Source organism: Homo sapiens, chromosome 14, assembly GCF_000001405.40.
Source record: "Homo sapiens chromosome 14, GRCh38.p14 Primary Assembly".
In the NCBI taxonomy this organism is placed as follows: domain Eukaryota; kingdom Metazoa; phylum Chordata; class Mammalia; order Primates; family Hominidae; genus Homo; species Homo sapiens.
Window position 1 is genome coordinate 86,330,120 of NC_000014.9, and position 27,591 is coordinate 86,357,710.

At 35.2% G+C, this 27,591-nt stretch overlaps 1 long non-coding RNA gene across 1 annotated transcript; it reads left to right on the plus strand.

Moving 5' to 3' along the window:
* The first annotated feature begins 1,463 nt into the window (after positions 1 to 1,463).
* On the plus strand, positions 1,464 to 27,591 carry LINC02309 (long intergenic non-protein coding RNA 2309). Its single transcript, XR_944113.3, has 4 exons — positions 1,464 to 1,551; positions 2,189 to 2,314; positions 6,293 to 6,367; positions 27,375 to 27,591. It is a non-coding gene; the product is annotated as a long intergenic non-protein coding RNA 2309 (long non-coding RNA).

Consider the following 27,591-nt stretch of genomic DNA (forward strand, 5'->3'; position numbering starts at 1 on the left):
GGCTTTATAAATACTACATATTTAGGTTACACTAAACTTATTTTAAAATGTTCTTCTTCAAATATAAATTTATCTTCATTTACTGTAACATTTTTTCTTCATTAACTTTCTCACTTTTAACTTTCAGACTCTTGTAATAACAGCTTAAAGTACAAACAGATCGTATAGCTGTACAAATATTTTTTCTTTCTTTATATCCTTATTCTACAAGCTTTTTAAATTAAATTTTTTATACTTCATGGTTAAAAACTAAGACACAAACACACACATTAGCCTAGGCCTTCACAGGGTCTGGATCAATGTCATTGTCTTCAACCTCCACATCTTGTCCTACTGGGAGGTCTTCAAAGCCTTCTTCTGGAATATCTTCTGAAAGACCTGCCTGAGGCTGTTTTACAGTTAATTTCTTTACTTTTTTTTTTGAGACAGTCTTGCTTTGTTGCCCAGGATGCGTCTTTATTTTTTTTTCTTTTTCTTTTCTTTCTTTTTTTTTTTTTTTTTTTTTTGAAACAGAGTCTCGCTTTGTTGCCCAGGCTGGAGTGCAGTGGTGCAATCTCAGCTCACTGCAACCTCCACTTCCTGGGTTCCAGCGATTCTCCTGCCTCAGCCTCCCAGGTAGCTGGGACTACAGGGACGCGCCACCACACCCAGCCAATTTTGTAGTTTTAGTAGAGATGGGGTTTCACCATGTTGGCCAGGCTGGTCTCAAACTCCTGACCTCAGGTGATCCGCCCACCTCAGCCTCCCAAAGTGCTGGGATTACAGGCGTGAGCCACTGTGCCAAGCCAGTTAATTTCTTTAATAAGTAGAAGGAGTACACTCAAAAATAATTAAGGGTATAGTATAGTAAATATATATACCAGTAACATAGTTCTTCATTATCATTAGAAAATTTTATGTACTGTCTGTAATTATACATGCTTTACTTTTATATGAATAAAAGTGCAGTAGGTTCGTTTATGCCATGATCACAACAAACATATGAGACAGCAATCACATGAGTAACACATTGCACAGTGAGCTTATGATGACTATGACACCACTAAATAACAGGAAATATTTAGTTCATTACAATCTTATGGACATCGTTGCATATGTGGTCAGTGGTTGACTGAAACATGTTGATATTACTGTATGTTACCCTTCTGATACATAACTGTAAATTACCCTTCTGATACAATTGATGAAAAAATAATAAATGTTAATGAAGCACTAAAGCTTAACCCTTAAATTTCTATAAAAATACACTGTAAAAAAACCTAACAGTCTTAAGTATTTAGTTACTCTTATTTAACTTGATGCCATTCTTAAAGAGAGGCGTGAAATATGTACAACATATATGTTCATAAGACAGATCTTTACTGTTCATAATGCTCAGTTTCCTGCTGCCTCTTTCCCGCTTAATGTCATAATCTTCTGTGACATCACAATTAATTCCTGCAGAGATGATTATAGTTACACTGAGAGGATTAAGATTTCAGGAAAGTGATAAACAGCAGGGACAGAATAAGGTCCTTTTTTTGTTGTTGTTTCCCAAGGATTATTAGCTTGGTAAGAGGGAAAGCAAACAAAACAAAACAAAACAAAACAAAACAAAACAAACAAACAAAAAACAGGCGGGGGGGGAGGTGTGGGTGGAAGAAAAACATGCCTGCAGATATTATAAAACAAGATAAAACTGTAGATTTGTTTCTTTCGTGAAAGGCCATTGACTCTTTAAATAGTTTTCTGTTGATTGCACTAGCTTAATTACTTACTTAAACAGTGAATGTTTTGTCAGCTCAATCAAATATTTTATTAGTATTGCTTAGTATTAAGATTCCAAATGTACATTGTGATTTAGATTCACCAGCATCATTATTGTAGTTATTGACTACCTGTGAATTTTTAGCACTACAAATACCTTCAACTTTAAAACAGAGATAAACTATATTTGGCCATCATGAAATGCATTAATTTTCATTAGGTTTATCAAGAATTGGGTTCTAAAGCAAGTAATTTTTTGTTTGTATAAACCATATTCTTTTGAATAGGGTTTTGCTTTTGAATGAAACATCAGTGTTCTTAATTCCATAGAAAGATATTCAAGGGTTATGTATTAAAGATATGTATCTATACTTTCTTGTAAACATTCATTGTATTACTTGACTCACAAATCTATCTTGGTATTATCTATTTACATATACAGAAAGTTAATATCATATATGGGCTGTGGCTTATTGTCCTATGAGAAATAGAAGAACCAGCAATAGAAGAGACCCAGATCAAGTTTGACTGAAAGGCAAACACCATTCCCAACTGGCTTTACCATCTGGTAAGGGTTTGTCAATAAAAATATTTGGGTAGCAGCAATTTTTCCAAATTCTTATTTATCTAGACTTCCAGAAAAAGCCAGACAAAATACATAAGGGGGCATTTACCCCCTCCCTCAACTAATAATTTAAAATCAAAATCACATTTAAGGCTCAATGGAGTTGTTTTTTATGTGTTCATTTTGTTTTGTTTTATTTTTTGAATTTCTCCCAGAAAGCATCGTGTTATTTAATAGTTATACAAATCATGCCCAGGCCTGAAAGATTCAAAATACTACAAAGTTTATCTGCTTGTTTCTGAGTGAGTCTGAGGTATCTTTCTTAGCAAACTAGCATGCCATCACTAATAAATGCTTAGTTTTCACAGCTGACATTGCTCATGAGATGGAAAATAAAAACATAATGAAAATGTTTATAAGCAACTTAAGGAACCTGCGACATGGCATTTTGTGAAGCCATCTTTTAGAAGTAAAAAGAACTTTCTTCATAATTACACAAATACAATTTTCATTCTGAAAGCTTTCTTGCTTTAACATTTTTCTAAATTATAATTAATTGATTTAAATCTTGCCTTAATGAAAGAATCCAAGCAGATAAGATTAATTTCTTAGTCTCTAACTACATAATATACCCAAGAGGCTATTCTAAAATGCTCAGCAATGCAGACTCCTATCGATTATAATTTATATAAATTATCTGTTTCTCTCCAAAACTGCTGAGGAAGTACACTGATACACAAATCAGTGGGCTGTTGGAAACATACAGAACATACTTTCTCCAAGTGGGTTATTATGAAAGTTGATTTAATTATTTCTTTTAGAAGTTTAATATGCAAAAAGCTAACTTATAGAAATATTCAGACCATTGCCAGATGCCTATGAAAATTGTTTTTCATTAAATTGGACTGTTTAAATTTTCCAGGTCCATGAATCCATACACAGTTTAATCATAGTCAAGAGGGAATTGTAACTCTGGAAAACTAAGCAGAACCCTGTAGCCAGAACTATAATGATAATTATAATGAAATAAGACCACACGATCAGGAGTTAGCCTACAGGAAGGTAATTCTAGACATTCAGAGTCTGACATAAAAGCTGCATCAAAGGCGGGCCTTGCAGAAAAGTCCTGAATAATTTTTTGAAAAAAACAGGAAGAAGAATCTACTGTCTTTAGCAGAGAAAGAGGTACATGCTGTCATCTTTGGTCTAGTCATGCCATTGAGTTAGAATTATGGTTTCAAATTTTATTTTCAGTTACCCAATCAAAGGAACTATTATCAAATACTTCTCATTGTGCAATGTTTGGATGTAAAGTCATGCAACTGATTTTGAAAACAATCTGCCAGATGAGTGACTTTTTCATCTGCATCTTCACAGAAGGCTTCAGGGAATGCCCTTTAATTCTCAAAATTCTCAAGCTCTTTAGGAAGCCTTGTTTTTTGTTTTTTGGGGTTTTTTTTTTCCAAAATATCTTCAGAATCAGTTCCTAAATAATGTAAAAATATTTTATTACTTCAGACATACACATCTTAAAAGCATTATGACTGAATTTTGTGGGTAGATGACCTAGTTGAGGATTTATGATTAACATGAAATAGAGAAACGTTATAGCTTAGCAACAATTGCCAATTAGTGTGTAATAAATGTAACCCCCCCAAAATATGATTAAATTGTGAAGTGCTCTAGTGTCCCATGTAGAGAATATGTGTGATGATGCTGCTTAGAAACTATCATGATACTCATGTTTGTGCAAAAATTAAGAATCCATTTTCACAACACCCTCTAAGCACAGAATGAATCTTCTCAACAAGAAAATATTTAAGAGATCTGACACTTTCCCTACATCTCCAAATACTAATCCTACAGATAGATTAGAGTTGCTAAAGCATTTTAGTTGCAAATGAAGATGAAGTCAAGTTAGAGTCAGTTTAATAATCATCTAAATAATGACAGAATTTTGCAGACATTGGAGGGAAACAAAGCTTTCTCTATTAGTTCATTTTTACACTGATATAAAGAACTGTCCAATACTGGGAAATTTATGAAGAAAAGAAGCTTGACTCATAGTTCTGCAGACTTAACAAGAAGTGTGGCTAAGAGGCCTCAGAAAACTGTTTACAATCATGGCATTAGGTGAAGTGAAAGTAAGCACGTCTTACTACGAAAAAGCAGGAGTCAGAGAAAAAGACCAAGGGCGGAACTGCCACACACTTTTAAAGCATCAGCTCTCATGAGAACTCACTCACTATCACAAAAACACCATGGGGAACCACCCACATAATCAAATCACCTCCCACCAGGCCCCTTCCCCAACATGTGGGAATTACAATTGGATATGATATTTGGGTAGGGTCACAGAGCCAAATCATATCACTTTCTCTGAGGATTTAATGAACAATATCTATCAATACATTCATCTTATATACTGAGTAAGTGCAGAGGCAAAGACTGGGCACTGAAGCCCGAGAAATACATCTTGCCTCAGATATACTGTGGGATGTACAGAAGTTTCAGATTGCAACCACTGGTCAAAATTTTACCTGATGCGCAGTAAAAAGGACTTGAAGTCTGATAATAGAAACTTTTTTGTCCTTCCACATTCTTATATATGAACATAATCATCACAATTCTCATTAAAGAATGTGGATTCAGTAATTCTCAATAAATGATTTCGTCCTCATTATGAACATCTTCATTCATTATTACAAAGATATCACAACTGAGAGTAGACCACTTTGTTATCACACTCAAGTTTATGGGAACTGAGGTATAACATCCTAGTAACTTCTTTCTTGCAAACTTCTGACAGAAGGAGACCTGTTTCAGCCAACAGCTGGACTATAATATTTGTAAGCTTAAAGTCAAAGGAAACTCAACAATGGATTAACTAGGGCAGATGACAATATGTTAACTCTATGCATATATTTTTGTTTGTTCTTTTCTTAAAGACATTAAAATATATATTTTACATCATTTCCCATCATAAATATACTTAAGTCCCATAATAATTTGCTAGAAATTAGAAGGAAATTATCTCTAATAGTGATTTTATACCAAGAATTGAGTAACGGTTTGAGATAAGCAAAAATACTTGCCATCCTTTCTAAATCTCATTAGACCATGGACAGGAGGGGGTTAATTTACAAATGACACTTCTAAAAATATTTCTACTATGCAAAACTAGTAAGCAGCTGGATTTCATACCATGTTACACCATTCTTTGTGGGATTTTTCTATTCCTTCATAAAGACTTAGTAGCTTTATATTCTATACCTACTAAGGACTTTGCTTCAGAAAGAATATACTTTTGAAAGAATAATAGTAACAATAGGTAATATTTATTAAACATTTCCTAATGCTAGTTTAATTGTACTGAAGATACTTCATTTAATATTCATAATCATAAGGTAAGATTACCTCTTTTATGATTCCCATTTATTCAGAGAAGGAAATCTTTTTAAGAGATTATGCGACTTGTCCAAGGTCAACAGAATTAAAGCCAGACCCTTTACAATCTGCACCATGGTGCCACTGCTTTAAACATTGCGACCAATATCAACTTGTGTTTCATCTAGCTTTCTTTCGGTTTCTTTTTTAAGGTAAAATCTTGCTTAAGATAATATCTCTCTAAAGGAAAGACCTTGTGTAAGACCAGACTCATCTCTCAAAAGGGACGACAATATTGTTCTTCTTTGCAGACTAAGTCTAACTTAACAGCATGTGGTTCTAGTGCTCAACGAATAAGTTTTTAAAAAATAGTTGCATGAATAAATGAATGAATATTTAAAAATAATTAAATCACCTTTCAGCCAAGCCAAAATTGACTGTTATTTTCACCTTTTTTAAAGTAGTTTTTTTTTAAGGTTTTAAATCTCTAGCATAAACAGACAGCTCATATTTGTATTTTGAAAATACTAGAGTGGTCTCAAGCTAAATGTTACAATGTGACTTTAGATGATTGATTTTTGACTTGATTAATAGTCTTTCCACAGAGACAACTCACAGGCTATAAAGTGCTTAACATTTCCTTGGCTTCAGAAGGCACTAGGGAAGGAGGTAAGTATGGACCAATTAGCAGGTGGGCACTTCAAGTGTACTTCTAGTTATTTATATGAATTGTGAAGGTCTTTAATATCCTCTTTGAACTTTTGACGCAGAAAACAAGATTTGTCTACTTGTATCTAGTTTAAACCAATTTATTTAGAACAAAAACAAGATACATTTCTGGATGAATCTCTTATTTGGGTTTTACATTCTTAGCAAAAACATAGAATCCATGAACCTCTGTTTATGAAACTATAAACTGTAAGAAGCTGTACTGCACACTAAGCAAACGTAGACATTTGTTCCCCAAAATGGAAGGGATGGTTTGATCCTTCATAGTTGAAAAATATTTCTTACCTCTTAGGACCATTATGTTTCATGACTTAAAAAAATTACATGTAATAATTCTACATATGTATGGGGCACAATGTTATGTTCTGATACATGTATGTATTATGTAATGATTAAATCAGGGTATTTAACATGTTCATGATCTTATATATTTTTCAATTTTTCCACATATAAATGAGATCATGCACTATTTGTTTCTCCATGCCTTAACATGGTGTCATTTCACTTAACATGATGTCATCCAGATTCATCTGGGCTGCCACAAATGACAGAATAACATTCTTTTTTATGGCTGTGGTGTTTCCTTGTGTATATGTACTAGTTTTCTTTATCCAAGCTGTTGATGAACACTAAGTTGATTCCATATTTTGGCTATTGTTAATAGTGCTGCGGTAAGCATAGGAGTGCAGACCTCCCTTCAACATGCTGATTACATTTCCTTTGAATAAATATTCAGTATTGGGATTTCTAGTCTTATAGTAGTTTTATTTTTAATATTTTGAGGAATCTGTATACTGTTTCTCATAAAGGCTATACTAGTTTACATTCACACAAACAGTGTACAAGAGTTTCCCTTTTTAAATTTGCTTACCAGCATTTGGTATTTGTCTTTTTCATAAGAGTCATTAGAATTGGAATGAAGTGATATCTTATGGTGGTTTTAATTTGCGTTTATCTGATGTTACAAATGTTGAGCATTTTTACGTATACTTATTTACCATTTGTATAGCTTATTTGGAGAAATATCTATTTAGGTATCATGCCCATTGAATTTTTTTTAATTTTTCATTTTTGTGAGTACATAATAGGTGTATATAGTGATTGGGTACCTAAGACATTTTGATACAGGCATGCAATGTGTAATAATCATATCAGAGTAAATGGGGTATCCATCACCTCAAGTATTTACTCCTGTGTTACAAATAATTCAATTACACTCAGTTATTTTAAAATGTACAATTATGAACATGTTAAATATCCTGATTTAATCATTACACGATACATACATGTATCAGAACATAACATTGTGCCCCATACATATGTAGACTTATTACATGTATTTTTAAAATTATTATTGGCTATAGTCACCCTGTTGTGTTATCAAATGCTTGGTCTTATTGATTCTTTCTATTTTCTGTACCCATTAACCATCCCTACTTCCCCTCCAACCTTACCCTCACTACCCTTTCCAGCCTCTGGTAACTATCCTTCTACTCTATATTTATTGCCCATTTTTTAATTAGGTTATTTGTTTTTTTGCTATTCAGTTGTTTGAGTTCTTCATTAATTCTGGATATTAATCTCTTTTTACACGTACAGTTTGCAACTAAGTTCTCTCATTCTTCTAGTGCCTTTATAGTTTTGGGTTTTACATTTATGTCTTTCATTTTAATTGATTTTTTGTATGCAGTGAGAAATAGGAGTCTAGTTTCATTATTCTGAATGTGGATATCCAGTCTTCCCAACAACATTTATAGAAGAAACTATCCTTTCCCTAATAGTTGTTCTTGGTGCCTTTGTCTAAAATCAGTTTGCTGTAAAATTGTGAATTTATTTCTGTACTCTCTTTTCTGTTCCAGTAATTTATGTGCCTGTTTTTATGTCTTCATTATGCTGTTTTGGTACATACTTTGTAATATGAAGTCAGACAGTATAATGTCTCCAGCTTTGTTCTTTTTTCTCAGAATCTCTTTGGCTACAACAAGAATTTGTAGCTTCATACAAATTTTAGGATTGTTTTCCTAATTCTCTGAAGAATGTCATTGGTATTTTGATAGAAATATCTTTAATCGTTGCCATTGTAAAGATTTTTCATCTTCATGGTTAAATTTATTCCTAGGGATTTTTTTATAGCTATTGCAAATGGGATTGCTTTCTTGGTTATTTTTCAGAGTTTGCTATTGACATGTAGAAATACTAGTTACTTTTGTATGTTGATTATGTTTTCTGCAGCTTTCCTGAATGTGTATATCTATTCTGACAGTTTTTTTGTTGTTGTTGCTGGAGCCTTCAATTTTTTCTATACATAAGATCATTTCATTTTCAAAAAGAGACAATTTGACTTTCTCTTTTCCAATTTACATGCTCTTTATTTCTTACTCTTGCCTAATTTTTCTGGATAGAAATTCCAATACTATGTTGAATAAAAGTGATGAAAATGGGCAACTTTGCTTGTTCCAGATCTAAGAGGGATCACTTTCAACTTCTATATTATGTTGATGATGAAGAACATTCCTTCTATACTTTATTTGTTGAGAGCTTTTAACATAATGGAATGTTGAATTTTATCAAATGTTTTGTTCTGTACTATTGAAATAATCATATACTTTGTTAAAATTTTATAAACGTTTAGTTTAACTTTTGGAATACATGTTCAGGTTTCTTAAATAGGTAAACATATGTCATGGGGGTTTGTTGTACAGATTGTTTCATCACCCAGGTATTAAGCCTGGTATCTATTAGTTGTTTTTCCTGATCCTCTTCCTCCTCCCACCCTCCACCTTTTTGGTAGGCCCCAGTGTGTGTTGTTCCCCTTTATGTGTCCATGCGTTCTCACCATTTACATCCCACTTAATAGTGACAATATGCAGTATTTGGTTTTCTGTTTCTGTGTTAGTTTGCTAGGGATAGTGGCCTCCTGCTCCTCCAAAGGATCTCTTTGTTTTTTACGGCTGCATAGTATTCTATGGTGTATATGTACCACATTTTCTTTATCCAGTCTATGATTAATTGGCAGTTAGATTGATTGCATGTCTTTGCTATAATGTATATTGCTGCAATGAACATACACATGCATGTATATTTATAACATAATTATTTATAAATTATTTATATTCTTTTGGGAATATACCCAGTAATGGGATTGCTGGGTCAAATGGTATTTCTGCCTCTAGGTCTTTGAGGAATTGACACACTGTCTTCCACAATTTACACTCTCACCAACAGTGTAAAATTGTTCCTTTTTATCCACAACCACAGCAGCATCTGTTGTTTTTGACTTTTTAATAATTGTCATTCTGACTGGGGTGAGATGGCATCTCATTGTGGTTTTGATTTGCATTTCTCTAATGATCAGTAATGTTGAGTTTTTTCTTTTGATTGTTGGCTGCATGTATGTCTTCTTTTGAGAGGTGTCCATTCATGTCCTTGGCCTACTTTTTAATGAGGTTGTTTTTTTCCTGTAAATTTATTTAAGTACTTTATAGATACTGGATATTAGACCTCTGTCAGATGCATAGTTTGCAAAATTGTCTTTGAATCCTATAGATTGTCTGTTCACTCTCTTGGTAGTTTCTTCTGCTCTGCAGAAGCTCTTTAGTTTAATTAGATCCCATTTGTCAATTTTTGCTTTTGTTACAATTGTTTTTGGTGTCTTCATCATAAAATCTTTGCCCATGTCTGTGTCCTGCAGGGTATTACCTAGGTTTTTGTCTTGGGTTTTTATAGTTTGTGGTTTTACATTTAAGTTTTTAATCTTCAGTTAATTTTTGTATATGGTGTAAGAAAGGGGTTCAGTTTCAATCTTCTGCATATGGCTAGCCAGGTATCCCAGCACCATTTATTAAATAGGAATCCTTTCTCCATTGCCTGTTTTTGTCAGGTTTGTCAAAAATCAGATAGTTGTAGGTGTATTGGCTTATTTCTGTGTTCTCTATTCTGTTCTATCAATCTATGGGTCTGTTCTTGTATGAGTACCATATTGTTTTGGTTACTGTAGCCCTGTAGTATAGTTTGAAGTTGGGTAGAAAGATGTCTCCAGCTTTGTTATTTTTGCTCAGGACTGCCTTGGCTATTCAGGCTCTTTTTTCGTTTCATACAAATTTTAAAATAGTTCTTTCTAATTCTGTGAAGAATGTCAATGTTAGTTTAATAAGAATAGCATTGAATCTATAAATTGCTTTGGGCAGTATGGCCATTTTAACCATATTTATTTTTTCTATCCATGAGCATGGAATAGCTTATTCATCAAGATCAAGTAGGCTTCATCCTCAGAATGCAAAGTTGGTTCAACATATGCAAATCAATAAATGTGATTCATCACATAAACACAGCTAAAGACAAAAAATACATGATTATCCCAATAGAAGCAAAAAAGGCTTTTGATAAAATTCAACATTCCCTCATGTTAAAAACTCTCAATAGTCTAGGTGTTGAAGAAACATATCTTAAAATAATATAAGCCTTATATGACAAACCTACAGGCAAGATCATACTGAATGAGCAAAAGCTGGAAGCATTCCCTCTGAAAACTGGCACAAGACAAGAAAGCCCTTTCTCATCACTCCTATTCAATGTAGTATTGGAAGTTCTGGCGAGGGCAATCAGGGAAAAGAGAGAAATAAATGGCATTTAAATAGGGAGAGAGGAAGTCAAACTATCCCTATTTGCAGATCATATGATCTCATATCTAGAAAACCCCATTGTCTCAGCCCCAAAGCTTCTTAAGCTGATAAGCAACTTCAGCAAATCTCAGAATACAGCAGCAATGTGCAAAATTTGCTAGAATTTCTGTACACCAACAACACTTAAGCTGAGAGCCAAATTCCAAAGAACTCCCATTCAAAATTGCCACAGAAAGAGTATAATACCTAGGAATACAGCTAACAAGGAAGGTGAAAGATCTCTATAAGGATAACCGCACACCTCTGCTCAAAGAAATCAGAGATGGCATAATCATATACTTTTTGCTCTTGATTCTGTTAGTGCATCATGTTTATTGATATGCATATGTTGAACCATTGATATGGTTTAGCTGTGTCACCACCCAGATCTCATCTTGAACTGTAGCTCCCATAATTCTCATGTGTGATGGGAGGGACCCAATGGGAGGTAATTGAATCATGGGGGTGGGTCTTTGCCAAGCTGTTCTCATGATAGTGAATAAGTCTCACAAGATCTGATGGTTTTATAAAGGGGAGTTCCCCTCCACACGGTCTCTTGCCTGATGCCATGTAAGACATTCCTTTGCTCTTCCTTCATCTTCTGCCATAATTGTGAGGCTTCCCCAGACATGTGGTTCTGTGAGTTCATTAAACCTCTTTCCTTTATAAATTACCCAGTCTCGGATATGTTTTTAATAGCAGCATGAGAACAGACTAATACAGCCATCCTTGTATCCATGGGATAGATCCCACTTGATCATAGTGAATTATCTTTTTAATTTGCTTTTGCATTCAGTTTGCTAGTATTTTGTTGAGGAATTTTGCCTCTATTTTCATCAGATACATTGGCCTATTTTTGTTGTTGCTGTTGTTCTGTCCTTGGTTGGTTTTGGTATCAGAGTAATGCTGGTCTCATATCATAAGTCTGAAGAATTATCTACTCCTCAATTTTTTGGAATAGTTTGAAAAGAGTTGTTATTAATTGTTTTTTAAATGTTTAGTAGAACTCATAAATCTATTAGGGCCTGTGCTTTTCTTTAATGGGAGATGTTTTTTATTACTGATTCAATCTTGTTACTCATTATAGTTCTATTCAGGTTTTTAATTTGTTAATGATTCTATTTTGGTAGGTAGAATATGTTCAGGAATTTATCTCTTTCTTCTAGGTTTTCCAATTTGTTGGCAAATAGTTATTCATAATAGTCTCCAGTGATCCTGCATTTCTGTAATATTATTTTTAATATCTCCTTTTTCAACTCTGATTTATTTTATTTGAGTCGTTTCTCTTTTTTTAATCTGGCTAAAAGTTTGTCAATTTTTTTTTTATCTTTTCAACAAACCAACTCTTCATGTTGTTTACCTTTGTATTGTTTTTATTTTCTATTTTATTTATTTCCACTCTGATCTTTCTACTAATCTTGGATCTAGTTTGTTCTTGCATTTTGCTTCTTTGAGGTATAGTTTTAGTTGGTTCATTGAGATCTTTGTGCTTTTTGGAAGTAGATGTTTATTGCTATACACTTCTTTCTTAGAACTGCTGTTGTTGTATCCCATAGGTTTTGGTATGTTGTATTTAAAGTTTCATTTGTTTCAAGAAATTTTTTAAATTTTCTTTTAAATTTCTTCATTGACCTGTTGTTGCTGTTTTTTTTTTCCAGAATAAGCTGCTTAATTTACATGTATTTTTATAGCTTCCAAAGTTCCTTCTATTATTGATTTCTAGTTTTATTCCACTATGGTCAGAAAGTCAGAAAAAATACTTGAGATAATTTTTTTTTAATTTGTTGAGAGTTTCTGTGGCCTACACATTATCTATTCTTGATAAACTTCCATGTGGTGTTGTGAAAAATGGGTATTCTGTAGCTATTACGTAGAATGTTCTGTAAATCTCTACTTGGCCTAACACGTGATCTATTCTTGATAAAGTTCCATGTCCTGTTGTGAAAAATGGGTATTCTGTAGCTATTACATAGAATGGTCTGTAAATCTCTACTAGATCCATTTGGCCTAAGATGCAGTTAAAATCCAATGTTTCTTTGTTAATTTTCTCTCTGAATGATCTGTCCATTGTTGAAAGCAGGGTGTTAAAGTCTCCTACTATTATTCTATTGCAGTCTTTCTATCCCATTAGATCTAACAACATTTACATTATATATTCACTGTGCTGTGTTCAGATATATTTATACTTCTTTTATTCTCTTGTCCATTTGACCCCTTTATTATTGCATAATGACCTCTATTATCTCTTTATATTTTTTAATTAAAGCCTATTTTATTTGATATAAACATAGATACTCTCACTCTCTTTTGGTTTTAATTTGCATGGGTTAATAATTTTCATCCCCTCACTTTCAATCTGTGTGTCTTCACAGGTGAAGTGATTACTTGTAGGCAGCATATAGTTGATTATTGTTGTTTTTGTTTTATGAATTAAGACACTCTGTATCTTTTATTTGGAGAATTTACTCCATTTACATTCAAGGTTGTTTTTGATAGGTAAGGATTTATTCTCTCCATTTTGTTGTTTTCTGCTTCGTTTGTTTTATATAGTCTTTGTTCTTCTCTTATATTTTGCCTTTTGTGGTTTGGTGATTCTTTTGTAGTGACAAGCTTTGATAACTTTGTCTTTCTCATTTGTGTATCTGTCATAATTTTTTTCTTCATTGTTACTATGGCCTTACATGAAAATATTTTAGATAAAATAAACTAAGCCAATAATAAATTAAGTTTTGTTACACATATTATATATGTACATATATGTGTATATCCTACACTTTTAACTTCCCCTCCCAATTTATAAATTGTTTCTTTGTTTATATCTTTTTATATTGTTTTTTCTTAACAACTTACTATAAATAGTTATCACTGACCATTTGACTTTTAACCTTCATACTACATACTTGAAAGTTTATATAATAACCATTATAGTAACAAAGTATTTTGAATTTGTTAATGAATTTTCCTCTACCAGTGAGACTATCTTTTCACGTGTTTTCATGATAGTAATGATTGCCCTTTTGCTTCCAGCTGAAGCACTCCCTAAGCATCTCTTGCAAGGCAGGTCTGCTGGTGATAATTTCCCTCAGCTTTTCCTTTTCTAGAAGAGACTTTCTTTCTCCATCTTTTCTCAAGGACAGTTTTGCTGGATATAATATTGCAGAATGGCAGGGTTTTTTTTTCCTCCCTTCAGCACTTTGAATATATCATCCCATTCTTTACTAGCCTGAAAGATTTCTGCTGGGAGACCTGCGTATAGTCTAATGGGGATTCCCTATATGTGACCTGACACTTTTTTCTTGCTGCTTAGAGTTCTCTCTTTGGCTTTGACTTCTGATACTTTTATTATAATGTTTCTTGAGAAGACTTCTTTGGATTAAATCTCTTTGGTGTTCTTTGAGCTTCGTGGATTTGAATTACCATACATCTTCCAAGACTTCAGAAGTTTTCAACTATTATTTTATTAAATTACTTTTTGTGCCCTCATCTATCTCTTCTCCCCTGGAATTTCAATGATGTGGAAATTTCTTTACTTAATGGCATTCCACGAGTCCTGTAGGTTTTCTTCAATGTTTTTTATTCTTTTTCTTTTTTTTTTCTCCTGAGTGGGTAATTTTTTTTTCTTCTGAGTGTGTTCTTCTGACACAAAAGACCAGTCTTCAAGTTCAGAAATTTTACTTCTGCTTGATCTAATTTGCTGTTGAAGCTCTTGATTGTGTTTTTTTAAATGTTATTCATTTAATTCTTTAGGTACAAGATTTATGTTTGGCTCTTTTTATCTCTTTCTGTGTGATATTTTGTTCCTGATTTCATTGAATTGTCTGTGTTTTCTTACATCTTAGTGAGTTTTCTTTAAATTATTATTTTCACTTTCTTTTCAGGGAGCTTGTAAATTTTCTTTATTCAGAGTCAGTTACTGAATAATTACTGTGTTTCTTTGGTGATGTCTTGTTTCCTTGCTTTTTTATGTTTCTTGTATCCCTGCATTCATATCTGTGCATCTGGTAGAATGGTTTTCTTTCTAATTTTATGAAGTGGCTTTTGTAGAGAAAGACTTTTACCTATAGATGTGTCCTATGGTGTTGGTTAGGTAGTGTGCTTTGGCTTTCATTTAAAGTAGACACAGTAGTGTAGTCTCCATGAAGTTTCTTCAGTTGTAGTCAATGTCAGCAATGCCTGAGATTGCCTCAGTGGCCTAGGCTGCTGGAATTTGTGTAGCTGTTCCAGCATCTTGGGTGGGGCTCCTGAGGTGAGAGGATGGTGAGCTGTTTTATGTGCCAAAGAAGTGCCAGTTTGGACTCAGCTTTCCCATGGGAAGGACCAATTGTCCAACTGTTCCTTGGGAGGCAAGGCACCACATGGACTCAGACACCAAGATGATGGCTGTTTCACTGGATTTAGGCTCCAAGTGCAGAAAGGCAGAGTGCTGCAGTCATTGGAATGGGGTAGATGAAGTGCTTCCTAAGCAGTTTTCTCCCAGGGGTAGGGCTCTGTAGCAGTTCAGCTGGGGAATTGTGCACTATCATATATGAGTATGGTACAATGGTGACAGAGCCTCGGTGATTGGGAGAGGCAGTGGCTACTGGCCCCTGGAGCAGAACACACTTTAGCAGTGCCTCTGGTTACAACACGACACCATGCAGCAGCAGCAGCTTGGATCACAGGGGGAGGAGCACAATGTGGCCCTTCTCAAGAGCAACACAACTATGTGAACTGTTGGTAGCTCCCCAGACTGGTCTCATGACCTGTAAAAAACTGTAGGATTCTCCAGCAGCAAAGATTGCAGATGCCTGTGGTGTCAATAGGGGATTCTGGAGGCTTTTGATTGCCTTTTCCCTATAAGGAGATGTCCCTCATAGTTTCAAGCTGATCCTGATTGGTGAGATGGGGTGGCAGGAGCAGAGTGTTTTGTTTTCTTCTCTCTTGGCCATCCTGAGTCTGTATGTTCCACAGGGTCTCTGCCACTCCTTCTCTGTACTTCAGCACGTTCCTTCAGACCCTGTAGTCAAAATGTAGTTGTTTGTTTGTTGTTTTTGTCCCTTTTTTGTGAGAGGATGAGCCATAGGTGCCTCTAGTTAGCCATCTTGCTGACATCACCTCCTCACTCAAGATTAATGACCTTTAATGTCTATGTAATACATTTCTTTCTCCTTAAAAAGACCAAAAAAAATTAGCAGTCTTTAAAGAATGTAATATTTGCACAGCACCTGAATCATCTTGAAATATTATGTAAATATAAAATCACTCACAAAGTAGTCAATATATGTAAATGACACAATTAAAAAAGACGGCTTGGGGCCAGGCACAGTGGCTCACGCCTGTAATCCCAGCACTTTGGGAAGCTGAGGCAGGCGGATCATCTGAGGTCAGGAGTTCAAGATCAGCCTGGCCAACAATGGTGAAACCCCGTCTCTACAAAAATACAAAAAAATAGCCACACATGATGGTGGGTGCCTATAATCCCAGGTACTTGGGAGACTGAGGCAAAAGAATTGCTTGAACCCCAGGAGGCAGAGGTTGCAGTGAGCTGAGATCCTGCCATTGCACTCCAGCCTGGGTGACAGAGCAAGACTCCATCTCAAAAACAAAAAACAAACAAACAAAACAACAGAAACAAACAAACAAACAAATGGCTTGAATTAGATATAAGAAAGACTAAGTTAATTTATCCTAGTCTTTTTTTTTAAACCAGGGCCTGGCTCTGTTTCCCAGGTTGGAGTGCAATGGCATGATCTTGGCTCACTGCAACTTCTGCTTCCTGGGCTCAAATTATCCTCCTACCTAAGCCTCCACAGTAGCTGGGTCTACAGGCATGCACCACCAGGAACTGCTAATTTTTTTTCCCTTTGGTAGAAATGGGGTATTGCCATGTTGCCCAGGGTGGTGTCAAATTCCGGGGCTCAAGATATTCTACTGCCTCGGCCTCCCAATGTGCTAGGATTACAGGTATGAGCCACTACACCCAGCAATTTACTCTATTTGTTTAGAAATACCAAACATGAATAAACCTAGAGAGGAGTTTTCAGTTTTCAGTTTCAGTTTCAGTTTTCAGTTTTCAGTTTTAGTTGTTTTCAAATAATAACAAAAAAGACTTTTTTATGTTTTTGATAGATGATAATAAAAATCCACATGCAGAAGCAATATTGACTCTGCTATGAGATGAATTTTCAAAGACGTTCTTTCTGATAAAATGATGCAGGTCTTGGAATGATGTAGCACATCACTCAGCAGGGGCTGGGACAGAGCAGTCACCAAATATCAGTCTTGATAATGATAGTCCAAGCCATTTACTTGAAATTCTTCCTGTTTATCCTTAAGGTCAACAATTGTCCTACACCTCTAGGAGTTCGGACTCATTTGCGAGTTACAGTGATGAGAAACATTTGTCACAGTTCAGAAATTGCTTCCTGAAGGCACACTGAAAGGCAAAATAGGTTAGACCAAGCACTCAGAAGTTTGAATACTTATCTGCACTCCAGCACTTTATTCAAAAACAATCTAAATGGCTTTTGATATAATATTCTGACACTTTTCATTTAGATCTTGTTTGAAAGAGCAAGGGCAGAGGCAATCAAAAATAAAATAAAAATATGGGGTAGGAAGAGTAGATATTGAAGCTTTATGAACATAAAAGATTCAAATTAAATTTGTGTTGAAGGTCTAAAGAGTACCTTGATGAAAACTCCAGGTAGTTATGACTATGGTAAAGCCTTTTATTATGTCTACTGGAAAGTGTACACAGGATAAGGTAAGCTAAGGTTGTTGTCTACACAGGCTGTACTATTTCTCAAGTCTGTAGCTAGCTGAGGTGCCAGAGGTAGGGCACTTTTATCTTTCTTTTTTTATTTTTTGTTGGTAAATAAGTTCCCATTTTTACAAGTTAGATTAGAACAGAATAGAATATGAACAAGAAAGATAAGCAAAAGCCCTCATCTTCATGACTGCAGTGCTCCTGATATGGCTGATGCTGACCCTCTGCTTATAGCACAATCTTGGCCCTGGCTTTAATAGTGATGAAGGCATACCCAGCATTGAGTTAAAGATAAAACTAGCCTCAATGTCCACATTTTCCTCAAATACACCCTGTGGAAGTTTGGGAATCTTTAAAAGGGGTTTGGTAATGTATTTTCTGGACTCCAATAATACTTTATAAATGCTGATGTTGCTCCAATAAAAAGACCTAGAATTAGGAGGGAAAATCACCCTCTGAAAAGGAAAAATAATAGAAATCAGACCATAATCTATATATTGAAATATCATTGAGGCATCTAGCTTAAAAAGTAGTTTATTATATATCACTGAAAAGTGTAGGAGAAATATTTTTTAAGTATGTAATGTCGAAATTTAGAAAAGGAGATTCAAAGGACAATATATAACATGAATTTATTTTTAGTCCTTTTGAGTGACTCTGACCATGCACATAATTAATTTTCTATTTTTTTCTCTCCATAGTTGAATGGGTTTATTATAATAACTTATTTTAATATATTTTTTAATAAGATTATCCCATTCTTGTCCAATTTCTAGGCTGTTGCCCAGGAGAAAATGGACTGACAAGTTGATTTAAGTTTTCTTTTATACTTGGACATAATAGTATCTGCCTCTTATGAATTTTGTCATTCTAAACTCTTCAGAATTCCGGATGAATTAAACAAATTAAATTTCTGAATCTGTAAATGTGAGAACATTGGTGGTTGTGATGGTTAATTTTATATGTCTACTTGACTGGGTTAAGGGATGACCAGATATCTGGTAAAACATTATTCCTGGGTGTGTTTGTGAGGGTGTCTACAGAAGAGGTTGCCACTTGAATCAGTAGACTGAATAAAGGAGATGTGCAATTCCCAACGTGGTGAGCATCATACAATCTTTTGAGGACCCAAATAGAACAAAAGGAAGAAGAGAGCAAATTCATTTTCTCTCTTTTAACTTGGACATCCATCTTCTCCTGTCTGCCAATGTTGGTGTTCTTGGTTCTCAGGCCCTTGGACTCAGACTGAATTACACCACGAGCTTTCCTTGGTTTCTAGCTTGCAGGCAACAGGCTGTGGGACTTTTCTGCCTCTGATTTATATAATAAGTGTCCTCATGTATTTATTCTATTTGTCTGTGTCTCTGGAGATCCCAGCCTTGCTTCTCACATCAGCTCATCTTCTTGCAAACTATTGCTTCCTGTGGTATGAAAGGAAGTTCCAGTTTCAGTCATATTGGATGGAAAATAGCTTTTTAATGTATGTTATCTGTAGTGTGTATGGTATGAAAGGCTCCTGTGATATGAGCCCCTCCATCTTTATCTCCCATAATTCCTAAATAAATTCTGCCCAGTCATACCAACAGGCTGAATTTCTCTGTTTGCTATAGAAATTACTTTTTCAGCCTGACCTAACCTCTACCTTTTGGTATCCATCCACCTTTCTATTGTCAGCCTTCTCTGACCACCTCTGCCAGGTTGGGGTCTGCTTGTCTGTGCTCTCATAGTTCACTGTGCTTAACTTTATTGCCATATTGCACTGGTGTATGTTGGTTTCCTTATCTTTTTACCTACTAGATTCTAAATCCCTAGAAGGCAGGACTTATCTATGTCTTTTACGGAACATACTAGGAAAATGACAGACCCTAGCTACTCTATAAATATTAATACAGGAATAAATAATTCAAAGCAGCTGGGTGTGGTGGCGCATGCCTGTAATCCCAGCATCTAGGGAGGCTGAGGCAGGAGAATCGCTTGAACCTGGGAGGTAGAGGTTGCAGTGAGCCGAGATCGTGCCATTGCACTCCAGCCTGGGCAACAAGAGTGAAACTCCACCTCAGAAGAAAAAAAAATGTATACATAAATGATAATACATAAAAGTAAAAAAATTAATTTTCCTCCAAGGATAAAACCATGTTGATATTCACAGTTATTCCATCTAATTCTGATTTGAAGACATAGTGCTGTAATTCTAATGAAAGATGATAATTAACATAACCCTTTAATGAATGAATGCAGCACTTTTTGATTTTAAATGTTTTAATTACTGTATTTTACTATAGTTATATTACAAAATGTGTTGAGCTATGGGAGAAAAAAATGAAATAAATTCTGAGCAGATAACTAACATGTTATAATGCCATAGCCTTTCCATCTTCCTTGTGTTTTTTATCTTGTTTTCACGTCATTTGCTGTAAATATTTTTAGAGTTCACTATGTGTCAGTTACTATTGTATGACTTGTGTAACTAAATGAACAAACATATAAACAATGTAATTTCAAGCACAATAAATAACAGAAGGACCGATGGTGTATGACGAAGGTAAATGATATTTCTTATTTTGAATAGGTGATCAGGGAAAGTCTATTTAAAGAAGGGATAAATTGTTGTCCTGGAGAGCAACAGGGTCTAGAAACATTCCTTCGTCAGTCTGATCTGGACTTTTGGTTCCTGGTTCTAGATCCGCTCCTACCTTGATGATCTCCAAAAACCAGCGTTCATGGTTGATTTTTAAAGAATTCCTTAGGAGATGGAATTTCAAAATTATGCTCACTCTTTATTTCATAAGTCTTCCCAATGCTGTCAGATTTCAAGATTCTTTATTATGACATTGTTAAATGTATTTTTTTCTTTCCACTAGTCAATTGGTGACATGTTTGCTGTTTTTCAGTGATGCCAGACCCAAGGGCACAGTGGGATACTTGTCTTCTACATTTGTACTTCTTGTCAAAAATTAAAACAAAAATGGTTGAAATTGATGAAGTGAAGTAAACCAGTATCTCTTTAACTTTAGGAAAAATGTTCATCAAATTTCATAACGACATTCAGGTTTATTACATCTCTTAAATAATATTAACCTGTCAGGTCTATTTCTTACTCACCTTTTCCATAACATAAGTAGGGTATCTATCTAATGAAAATACATAAATAACCAACTAGATGCCTCTTGAAATATTATATGGGATCATAAATTTGTTTTATTTTATTGTGCAATATTTTAAAATTTTATTTTGGGTTTAATATGATAGTCTTCTTCAACAAATGAATTACTTGCAAGGGACATTTTTAGTTGGACATAGAAGACCTCTGACAATCTAACCCTTGATACTGTAGTGATGTTGCCATGACAGAGCCTGGGGCTATAAGGCTGAAGCCACATGCAATGAAATGACCTCCATCAAGTGGCACAATTCCCATTGCTGTCAACTTGTTGACTTCACTGTCACACATATGACTTTCACCAAAAAACATTCAAAACAAACCACAGATACACAAAAATGCACAGAAGATGAAAGACACACTCAACACACATGCAGGCACACACGTACACAGCATTAATCCACAGGCTCGAAGAGCTTAAAACCAAAGCTTCTTCAGCTCGGAGAAAACTTGTAACAGTATTTAGACTTCTCATGTTTCTAAGTGGTAAAATCCTTGATAGTTTCCTCTAGAGCTCTTAGAATAGCCAGTTGCCTCATGCCCTCTTCGACTCTAGCACTTAGAGATTTTTAAAATTCCCTTTAGTTTGGCGAGTAATCACTATGATCATATCTGGAATTACTTGTGTTGATATCTCTAAATGTAATATATATGACTCTACTTTGAGCATACTGAAAATCTCCCTGGAGAGGGTCTTCTCCTTTTTCTTCTTTATATTGTCTAGAGTACTATACTTCAGAGAACTTCAGCTCAGCTTAATTAATACATTACTTCTCTATTTCCTTGTCAATAATTCAATTGCCTGAATACAAACATAAATATATATATATATAAAATTTTAAACATTAGTAATTAATTAATGAAATGCGATAGGACAATAGGTCAGAGAAGGCTTACTGATGTAACCTTTAAGTTGAGGCCAAGTGTTGAGTTGGGAAAATGATATTCTAGGAAGACTGATTTAGCAAGAAATTAAATAACCCCAGTGTGTGAGGAGATTAAAGAACATAAAAAAGGCCTCAAGAGACATGCAGTAGTCACATTATGCATGTGTTTGTAAGAAGGGCTTTAGAATTTGAATTTTATTCCAAGTGTAACTGGAAACCAGTAAAGAATTTCATGGAGGATGGTAGGGTTTTATATCTAAAAATAATGTCACATGGTTTTTTGCCCCTTGACTCCAGGTCTCATTGTTCTCTACTTTCCCACCCAGCTTCCTGGTTAAGCAACTTCAAATACAGTTTTCATTTTCACTTCATTCATAGTTGTAATCACAATCACTGTTTTCCATGGAGAGCTTGCCATATACATCTTATATACATTATGAAATAAATCTTTTATTGTCACCATAAATCCCTAGTCACAGAGGTATTACTAGTCTCACTTTAAGGGTAAGGAACCTACAGGCTAGACAGGTAAGATAGCTTATCCTATTCACCCTAGGTTTGCATGACTCCAAACACAATAGGAGATATTTCCTACTATACTCAACAAACCACACTATCTCTCGTTCTATCTCAATTATATTTAAACTCCTACATGTACTCTGTACAATTTTTCATTATCTGGCTGCATTTGTATATCCATATTCACCTCCCTCTACTCTCATCAAAGACTATGATCTTTTTTTCTTAACCAACCACCCTCATCTGTTATCCCTCACCACACACAGCATGCTTATTCTACCGCCTTGGATATACTAGAAAGTCTGCTGGTTAGCAGAAAAGTTAAGTCTCCATTCAGGCTTTTCCACTAATTGGGCCTCACTGAGCCTCAAAATGTTATCTTTAAAATCAAGATGATAATCTCCAGCTCACCTACTCTTGAGGAATTGAGTAAACATTAGATAAAATAATGTACATATTTTCTTTTAACTCTAAAGGACAATACAAGTGTATATTTTACTTTACAACTTGTTTTAGGATCTCTTCTTAGTCAGCAATGGCTTCCTCATGTTCTCTGTCTGTCCAAAATGTCACCCACCTTTCAGACCAGGAGCAGGGAAATGTCATAAATACTAAGGCTTCTCTCATTAAATGTAACTGCTATGTTCCATTTGTGCAGTCTCATAGTCATACTGAATTAAAGAGAAATTATTGTATTTTTGGAGTTTTTCATGTGTATAAATTTTACTTGGCTATCACTGATGGAAAATCTGCACAATTATCATATATTCCATTATCTATATTCTCACCATTCCTCCCATGGTGCTGGTAGAAAGTCAAACCCAGCAATTCAGAGAACAGACCTGAGCGATATAAAGACCTGGGTTGCAATCTTGTCTCTGTTACTCCTCAGATGGATAATATTGGGTGAAAATCATGAATTCTCTTAGCCTTATTTGAATCCCTTTTAATGTGGGGTTATTAATTGCATCTTTCTCTCTGTGTTGTAAAATTTAAGTCAAGAAAAGCCTGGATACTACAGTGGCTGCCTTTCTTTCTATCAACTGTCACTATTAACATGTTTCTTCTTATAAATATTATAATGTCTATTTTTCTGTACCTAGCTATCATTATTTTCCTAAAAGCTCAGCTAATGTGTGTTTGCTGTGTAATTAAATATGTCATCTCTTCCTTAGGACTTCTGTATGCAATTGATCCACTTTAAGCAATTGCACTGATCAGATTTTCTGTAATTGCTATTTCCAATCAGCCTAAGGAAAATTGTAGCCAGGTTGCGTGAAGCCTTAGATAGAAGTGGCATTCTGTTTTGTCAGCTGATAATACCATTTCCTATAGACTAAAAGCCGTATAATTTATTTTTAATAAATTTTATAAGTGTTATCACTGCATTTTGGTATATCTAATAGTTTTAAAAGCCATTACTTATCTCAAGTCTTATTTGTCAAGGAACATAGAAATAGCCTAACTCAAGAAGTGAAGCTAAAGATTGCATGACTTGTTGATTTGCTAGAGGTAACTGTTGGTTGAACAGAAAAACAAATGTTTCTTTGCTAACTTGTAAAAGGAAAGTATGGAACTGCCCCCATGTAAGTAAGTAAAGAATGCACCTACAGATGATTTGGGTTGCCACCCTTAGTCTCTGAAATTTATAAGCTAGAAATTAATTATTTTATATCACCACGTGTTTCATCACGTGTTTTGCATTATAAAGCATTTGGATTCTCTTACCATAAATAAATAACATTGAAATTTTTAGGGATAAAATATTAAGTAGTTTGAACCAAGAAGTCTTCAGAAAGCACTTTACAAAAAGTCTGCATCCCTTTGGTACTAGATTAATACATTTGATGTAAGAGAGTTTAATCATGTCGGTTCTTGTTTATATTCATAAGATTAACCTGATTGCTGAATCTGAGAATGGAGGATTTTGTTTAAAGGGCATTGTGAACATAATTTGGCTTCTAACTATCTGTAATTGAAGAGTTCAGCTTATTAAGCAGATTTGTCTTTAGAGGTGGTGTGACAGAGCCCCACCGTTGCTTTGGAATGTCTCAGAACACTGAGGTCAATTTAGCCAAGAAGCTCTTTGAAAAACTTTTTAATTTCTAAATCTCCAAATGTATTCAAGACTGGAGACACAGGAGAATAAGATCAATGTGACTTGCTCTGCTTCAATTCTCTTTTTCTCTTCCTTTCTTCTCCCTATTTCTTGCCCTCTTGTTGCTCTTTTCTTCCCCTTTCTTTCCTACAAGTAAATCTAGCACATGTGACAAAAACCTGGGGCAGAAACAAGGATGTTAGGGTTTAACAGCTCTGTCTAGGCTTTCACAGGCAAGCATCCCCAGGATAACCTGACTGATTTCCCCTGACTCTGGTGCACTCTCTGTCTGTCCCACCGCACAGGCACGACTAAGGGTGAGTGCAAACGCCTTTTCTTGGAAATATATTCAGAGGTCAGGCTGCCAGCAGTCAAACCCCAGTTCTTACACTCCATAGCTATGTAACAGTGGAGAAGTTGTTTAACTTCTCTCTACTTCCATTCTCACATCTGTGAAACAAAGATAATATCAGTATCTACTTGAGAGGTTCTTGTGTGTACTAAATAAAGCAATCTTTGTAACCATTTAAACCAGTGTCCTAAAGATATGAGTGGTCAGTAAGTCTTTGCTATTATTATGATACTCTTAATTATACCATTAATATACAGGAGATACAGGTAATGAGGTGGGAATTTCAGAAGGAAAAAATAAGCTTCAAAAACAAATTAGATTTAGGGGTAGCTTCTCGAAACTTCAGTTTCTTCATCTGGAAAATGGGAATAAATATGGTGTCTCCTACAGAATTATTTTGAAGATTCAGTGGAATAGTTCATTTAAAGCACTTAATACCCTGCTGCCTCACACATGGTAACTACTTGAGAAATTGAGCTATTATGATGGTGGTGCTGAATAAAATGGCATAAAATCAGGGATAATGGTGGAATGACGGTGATAATGTGCAGGTTAGAGGGGAGAAAATCACTTGAAAAGAAAGCGAAACATGTTATTAATTTTAGAAAAATATTTAAGAATTGTGATACTTCTTTACTTAAAACCCTTTAAGCCCTTAAGCCCTTGGCATTGCTGTATCTCAGTGCTTCCTGGATTTGTCATTTAGGTACTGCTTTCACCAGTTTTGTCATATGGTATACTTTTTTTTTTTTTTTTTTTTTTTTTTTAGATGGAGTCTGGCTCTGTCACCCAGGCTGGAGTGCAGTGGCAGGATCTCGGCTCACTGCAAGCTCTGCCTCCTGGGTTCACTCCATTCTCCTGCCTCAGCCTCCCAAGTAGCTGCGACTACAGGCGCCCGCCACCATGCCCGGCTAATTTTTTATATTTTTAGTAGAGACGGGGTTTCACCGTGTTAGCCAGGATGGTCTCCATCTCCTGACCCCGTGATCCACCCGCCTCCGCCTCCTTCTCCCAAAGTGTTGGCATTACAGGCGTCAGCCACCGCGCCCAGCTGGTATTTATTTACTTTTCTTTCTTTCTTTCTTTCTCTTTCTTTCTTTCTTTCTTTCTTTCTTTCTTTCTTTCTTTCTTTCTTTCTTTCTTTCTTTCTTTCTTTCTGTCTTTCTTTCTCTCTCTCTTTCTTTTTCTGTCTTTCTTTCTTTCTTTTTCTTTCTTTCTTTTCTTCCTTTCCTTTTCTTTTCTTTCTTTCTTTTTCCTTCCTTCCTTCCTTCCTTCCTTCCTTCCTTCCTTCCTTCCTTCCTTTCTTTCTCTCTTTCTTTCTTTTTTTTTTTCTTTTTGACAGAGTCTCACTCTGTCACCCAGGCTGGAGTCCAATGGTGTGATCTCAGCTCACTGCAACCTCCACATCCCGGCAACCTCCTGAGTAGCTGAGATTACAGGAGCACACCACCATGCCAAACTAATTTTTGTATTTTTAGTAGAGACGGGGTTTCACCATGTTAGTCGAACTCCTGACCTCATGATCCACCCGCCTCAGCCTCCCAAAGTGCTGGGATTACAGGCGTGAGCCACCGTGCCTGGCCTATATGGTATACTTTCTAAGTTAGTCTCCTCCTAAGGAATAGTGTTCAGAGGACCACATGTTTGTTCCCAAGTTGTATTTTTCTCAAATACACACCAAAACGAATGGGTAACTGTCAAAATTAAAAATCAGATCCTCTGTGCTCCAGGGAAACCTTTGTGTGATAGTTGGTGGTTCAGTTTGGGGATATACTGAAACTAACAAATTAATTTTTGCTTGTAATGTTACAAGTCAGATCTAATGAAGTCCTGAGATTAATCTCTTCTGAGATTAAGAGGGTCCAGCCACCCTGAATTCAGTTGTTTTGGTTTGTTTGTCTATTACAGGTATTTGTCACTTCTCCCCAAACCCCAATCCTTCTATCGTCAGCCAGCCAATCCTGGAAAACTTGTCACTTAATACTTGTCACAAGTTAATTGAAAATCTTCACATTTTACAAAGAGCTTAGATACTTTTGTAAAGTAGTCTTTTCTTATCCATGGAAAATATGTTTCTAGACTCCCAGAGGATGACAGAAACCTCAGATAGTACCAAACCCTATATATACTGTGATTTTTCCTACACATCTGTACCTACAATCAAGTTTAATTTATAAATTAGGCACAGTAAGGGGTTAACAATAACTAATAGTAAAATAGAACATTTACAATCTGACACTCTAATAAAAGCTATATGAACGTGATCTCTCTCCCTCTCTCTCTCTGTCTCTGAAAATATCTTATTGTTCTGCTCTCTTCCGTCTTCTTGTGATCTGTAAAACTGATAACACAGATGGCTGCTAAGTGACTAACAGGAAGGCAGCATAGACAATATGAAGAGGCTGGACAAAGAGAGGATTCACATTCTAGAATATCCTGAGATTTCATCGCAATACTCAGAACAGCTCCCAATTTAATACCTAGGAATTACTTATTTCTGGAATTTTCCATTCTATTTTCAGACTCTGGTGGACCACAAGTGATGGAAGGCTTGGAAAGTGACACTGTGGCGGAGGGGATACTATTGTACATTTTTACTTGTTATCTCATTGTGCAGGAGTGTGTTTTATTATCATTTTTGTTATCGTTATATAGTGTGTGCATGTGTATATGAGGTTAATTTATTATTTTTATTTTATTTTGCACAGGCTAATAAAGAGAAGCATGTGATACTTCTAA